The following is a 5,948-nucleotide window of genomic DNA, read 5'->3' as shown; positions in this document are numbered from 1 at the left end:
TATGGTTTTTGTATTCATTTGTTTCTGAAAAATGTGCATTATGTACTATGAGGAAATTTCTACAAAGAGATGAAGACAATTGAAAGCCAGATATCTGTTATTGATCTAAGCACTCCCAACATGTCTCAGACCCTGAACCGCCAGTTATACCCTACACTGATAGGTCTCGAAGCACTTTCTTTCCATAGCTCCTAATACAGAATCTGAAATTGTCCTAAATCTTTCTGTTTAAAAAACAAAGCAAACCCACAAATGGAAAAAGCAACAATAATAAAGATTTCCCTTGAACTTCTGTCTTTCTCTAGTTAGTATCAGGTCTTTGAAATAAGGGTTACAGTTTCTGTCTGAAAGAGTGATAAGCCCTCCTCCCTTCTTTAAACTTTCTACTTTTCCTCACCCTTCTGCCCCTACCATAGCACTGTTTTCACTGAGATCATGAAGGGTACTCCTGAGCAAAGCTCATGTTGACTTCTTAGTTTCATGTCTTACCATATCACTCCGGTGCATTTGATACTTTTTAAAAAAAATTATTCCTATGACCTGCCCTCCTACATCTCTGACCCTTTTTAGTTCCATGTCTTTCACTGACTTTTCTTCCTGGGTATGCGTCTTTGACATTGGTTTACTAAACTTCCATATTTGGCCGTCTTCTCATGCCTAATCAGCCTCATCTAATCCCACAGTTTCAAATAGCATTAATAGGCTAATGACTCCAATATTTTTATCTGTATGTCTGAGTTCTAGATCTTTTCCAACTGCATACTCAATTCTCTTGAGTGTCCCATCAGCCATTCAGGTCAACATGTCCCAAAAAGCTCATTTCACTCTTTACCGCCAGACCTCCTCCTATAGTATTTCCTGCCCAGAAGATTAGCATTGCCAAAACGTTCGTCATAACCCAAACCAGAAAACTGAGAGCCCCCCTGGGCTGTCCCTCCAGCACCATCATCCATATTCACTCGGCCAGCAAAACATGTTGCTAGTACCTCTAATTCCTCTTGGGTATTCCCTTTCAAAAACCTGTGGATTGCCTGCAGGCCTTGGTACCTCTTGTGCTGATTACTGCAATGGACTCCAGTCATCTCCAGTCCAGTCCACGTTTTCACAGTGTTGTTTTTCTTTTTCCTAACAGTTTATTAAGAATTTTTTCTTCCCCTTAACATCCCTTTGTAGTTCACCATCACTTAAAAGATAAAATTTAAACTAGCCCATCTAGTTTCCTTTTCAATCCAGCAAAGTCCTTTGCAACCTAACCATTTGGGGTTTCCTGGAAACAACGTGGCTATTTCCTGCCTGTGCCCTTTGCTGGGAAAATGCCTTTCCTCCCTCATTTCTAGTCCACTTGGTCAATCTTTTACCAATATTTCCAGTCCACTTGGTAAATCTCTTCCAAAATGCTTTTACACTTGGTAGTGATAAATACACCAGTAAAGGAAAATGCATCAGAAAGGACTTGCATTTAAAAAAAAAAAAAAAAAAAAAAGGACTTGCATTTTGAGCTGTGCTTTGAAGGATGAGTACAATTTCAATAGGTAGAGGAAGGAGGAAGGACATTCCAGGTAGAGGGAACAAGAGATGGAAAAGAACAAAAGCACACACTGTATGAGAAAGCAAGAACTGTTCTTAACATTGGTAGGAAATTGTCAGTTGAAAGCAGACTAAATAGAGCATGCTTTCAAGACTCACGTCTTGAATATGTGCATTCATATACCTGTTAGTGAAATTGATTTCAATGGACTGAAATATATATAGTCACATTTTTATACTCAGAATCATAATTTTGTATTCATTTATGGCAGTTCAGAATGCTTTGCCTTCTAAGTGTCTACATAAACTGCCTAAGTTCAGTTATAAAATGGAGAAAAGTCTAACAGCTATCTCAGTTACTCTACCTCATAGAGGAAGGCAGTTAAAACAATGCCCAGCACATAATAAATAGCTGTTGTTGGTTATGACCATTATGTAGGGTCAACTGGAAGTTGCTTCTAATATATAATCCTAGTTATAGTAGTTACTTTAGCTGCTAATTGTTTTTCTGCAAACCAACATAAATGCTTTTAGGGGACAAGGCTTTTTTTTTTTAACCAGTCCACGATAAAAGCCCAAAAAGTACATTAGAGATTATTCACATTTTTCCCTGTAGCCACTGGCCATTTTGGAGGAGGTGGCCATCTCTGGTGCAAAGAGAAATCCTTAATATTACGTTTTGAAACTTCAGATGAGTAGCACTAACGACAGAAAAGCTTGAAGTTTGCTGCTTTAAAGGAAGTCACTATTTAAAGAAACTCTACATTAAGTACTTTTGTTAAGCAGGGAATCCTTTACTCAAAATGTACCTCTGGCACATTGGCCTTTTTTCATAAGTTGAGGTTCAGCTAAAGTATCAAAATATTTTCTTGAGTGTGCGCTTTTCAAAAGAGTACATGAACCTGAATGAAATGAACACGATTTTATTTACAGGTGACAGCTGTAAACTAGATGTATGACTGACAGTTTGTGATTATGTGCTTCATGTTTATTGTAGCCAAAAGAAAGCAGGTCAAGGCATATTTACTACTACTCCGTTCACTGGGGCCCGTGTACTACAATACATCTTAGCAATTTCTAGTTCATCCATGAGAGTGTGTTTTTCATTATGCCAGTAAATCACATGAATCCTTAATGAGAATTGGACAATAACGGTTGGCTTGCCAGTGAAGAGGATTTAAGTCTTGATAATAGCAGCATCAGAACATTCATCAAGCAAGCAAGGAGGAAGGCATTTTGACCGGAGAGTGGAGAGATCACCCTATTTACGTCTGACTCTAGTTATTAATATTAGTTATCTGCCATATAACTGTGGTGTTCAGGGGTTGCCAGTACCATCAAAAAGTTGGGGGAAGTAGCTACCACTACCCTGTTATTTTCAAACATAACTTTGGTCCTTTGCTTGTCACTTTTACTATGTCTAGAAAGTGCTAGCCATTTAACAAATTTGAGTGCCTGCTCTGTGCACAGCGCCAGAGGATACACTAGTGAGTAAAGCAAAACATGATTTTTCTTTTTCTTGGCTGTATGTCCTTGCAGTAGTTCTGTTTGAGATGCCAAATTAGGCAATCACTCAGTGGTGGAAAGTGAGATGGGGCACTGAAATTGGGTTGAGTGTTGTCAGTAAGAGGCCATAGTCTGAGTGACCCTGACTAAGAGGGTCTTATCTAATCATGAGATTATCCCTGTCACCAGTGGCAACACACTGAGAACTTTGTAGTTGAGATAATGCCTGGAAAATCACTCTGCCACACCATCAGGCTTCAAATAACAGGTAGAACCATATTCATCTTGTGGTCAGTAGGCAATTTTAAACCAATGTCTTTGTTCAATTTTACTGGAAAATGTATGAGTTTGGAACATCAAAAGTACTGAAATGATATAAAATATTTTATTAATATTTAAAAAGCATCATGTAATAAGGATATTTCAAAATACATTTGAAGTATGTCACCAAAACCAAATTTTGTGATGAAATATCTGTTGATGAGGAGGTTGAGGGATACAAGAGCTGGTGATGATGATAATATCAGTATTACTTTATATGTGGGTAAATATGTAATTGTACCATATTTCCTTCATTCATTCTCTCACTCTTCTAGACAATTATTTCATACCCTTCTCTCCTCAAATACGAATGCTTCCTTTTTTTGACTTTCAGTTGATCATCTTGATTTCTCTTTCACTGAGATGACAGAGGCAATAAAGATAGAACGTTTGGGACCTCCCACCACATCTACCCACCTACTCATGTCCATGCATTTCACTTTCTCTGCTGTTTCAGGTGAACTGTCTGTTCTCAGAGTGGATGCCAACCCCTCCACGTGTGCACTAAATCTCATCCCCTCTTGCCTTCTCAGTCGTGGCACATCAGCAATTCTCCCCTATGTATCATCAGGTTTTCTTTCTCTCCTGGTTCTTTCCATCAGCTTACAAACATGCTGTTATTTTTCCCAACCTAAAAATACCCTTTCTTGACTCCACATCCCTTTCGGTGTAGAGCAAAACTCATTGAAAGGATTATCCACACTTGCCAGCTCCAATTTCTCTTCTCCATTCTCTTGAGCCCCTGTCTCATTTACCCTCAGCACTTCCCTGAAACCACTCTTGTGAAGATCACCCATGGCCTCCATAAGGTGCAATCCCATCGGCATTTCCAGCCCTCATTTTGCTTGCCCTCGTAGCACTTGACTCAGCTGATTCTCCCTCCTCTTTGAAACACATTCTTCCTTGGCCTTCAAAACACTATACTCTTCTATTTTTCCTTTTATCTCTCTAGTCCTTCCTTCTCACCTCTTCATATTTTCTTCTCTTCATATTTTCTTGGTGGCCTCATCCAGTCTCATGGCTTTTAATGTTATAAATTATCAACTCTTGAGTTCACCCTCCCCTGAACTCCAGGGTCATTCAACTCCCAACTAGCTTCCAACTTGGATATCTAATAAATACCCCAAACTTAACATCATTTCCACCCCTCGCCCCATGCTGCTCCTACAACAGTCAACTTCGTCTTACCTTCATCTCAGTTGCAATATCACTCTTCCAGGTCAAAACTCTAGTGCCATCTTTGTTTTTGTTGTTGTTTTGGAGACAGAGTCTTACTCCGTTGCCGCCAGGCTGGAGTGCAGTGGTGTGATCTCGGCTCACTGCAACCTCCATCTTCCGAATTCAATTGATTCTTGTGCCTCAGCCTCCCGAGTAGCTGGGACTACAGGGGTACAACCATGCCCGGCTAATTTTTCCATTTTTTGTAGAGATAGGGGTTTCACCATGTTGCCCAGGCTGGTCTCGAACTCCTGGGTTCAAGTGATCCATCCACCTCGACCTCCCAAAGTGCTGAGATTACAGGCATGAGCTACCGTGCCCAGCCCCTAGTGCTGTCTTGACTATTGCCTCTCTCCTACCTTACGTTTAATTACTCAGCACATGCTGTTGACTTTAATTTCAAAATCTCCTGGATACCAGCCAGCTTCAGGTGTGTGCGACCTGAGCAGTTGCACCGGGCTCTGTGCTTGGTTTAGTGCTCTGCTGTTGCTGTCTTGAAATTATTAATAATTTAAAAAAACTGGAGTGTGGTAAAATACATATAACATAACATTTACTATCGTAACCATTTTTAAGTGTACAGTTCAGTAGTGTTAAGTATATCCACATAGTTGTGCACCCAGTCTCATCTTTTTTTATCCTTGCAAAACCAAAACTCTGTAGCCACTAAACAACTGCCCCATGTCACCTTCCCTTCAGCCCCTGGCAACCATCATTCTCCCTTCCATTTTTGTGAATTTGAACTTGACTGTAGATACCTCATATAAGTGGGCTCATACAACATTCATCTTTTTGTGGCTGGTTTATTCCACCTAGCAAACGTCCTCAAGGTTTATCTATGTTTTAGCATGTATTGGAATTTTCTTCCTTTTAAGGTGGAATAATATGTGCTTGTATGTATGTAGACCCCATTAAAAAAATTCATCTGTTGATGGACACTTGGATTGCTTCTGCTTTTTGGCTATTGTGAATGATGCTATGAACATGGGGTGTACATACCTCTTCAGGGCCCTGCTGTCAAATCTTTTCAAGTTTCTATACCCAGAAGTGGAATTGCTGGATCATATGGCAATTCTATTTTTAAGTTTTAAAGAATTGCTATATTGTTTTCCATAGTGGTTGCACCATTTTATTTATTATTTATTTATTTATTTTAAGAGAAACCACTCAGACTGCATGCATCCTCTCCCTCTTACTCTCTCAGAGGAAGAGAAGAACAATCATCAATGGCAAATAGCAGTTGCAGTGAAGCAATGCCAAGAACCAACTTCACGCTCAGGAGAGAATACTGAACCTCCTCCTTGTGGATTCCAGGGCTGCGCCATTTAAAAACTCTTCTTCTTCCTTTTCTTTGCGGGGTGGGGGGATAAAGTCTT

General features: G+C 39.8%; 1 non-coding gene across 1 annotated transcript; it reads right to left on the bottom strand.

The window, feature by feature from the left end:
- LOC124904668 (small nucleolar RNA U3) lies at nucleotides 5,735-5,948 on the bottom strand. The gene has a single exon (XR_007067175.1). It is a non-coding gene; the product is annotated as a small nucleolar RNA U3 (small nucleolar RNA).

The sequence above is a fragment of the Homo sapiens genome, chromosome 1, assembly GCF_000001405.40.
Source record: "Homo sapiens chromosome 1, GRCh38.p14 Primary Assembly".
Taxonomy (NCBI): Eukaryota; Metazoa; Chordata; class Mammalia; order Primates; family Hominidae; genus Homo; species Homo sapiens.
This window is presented reverse-complemented; position numbering and strand designations above follow the sequence as displayed.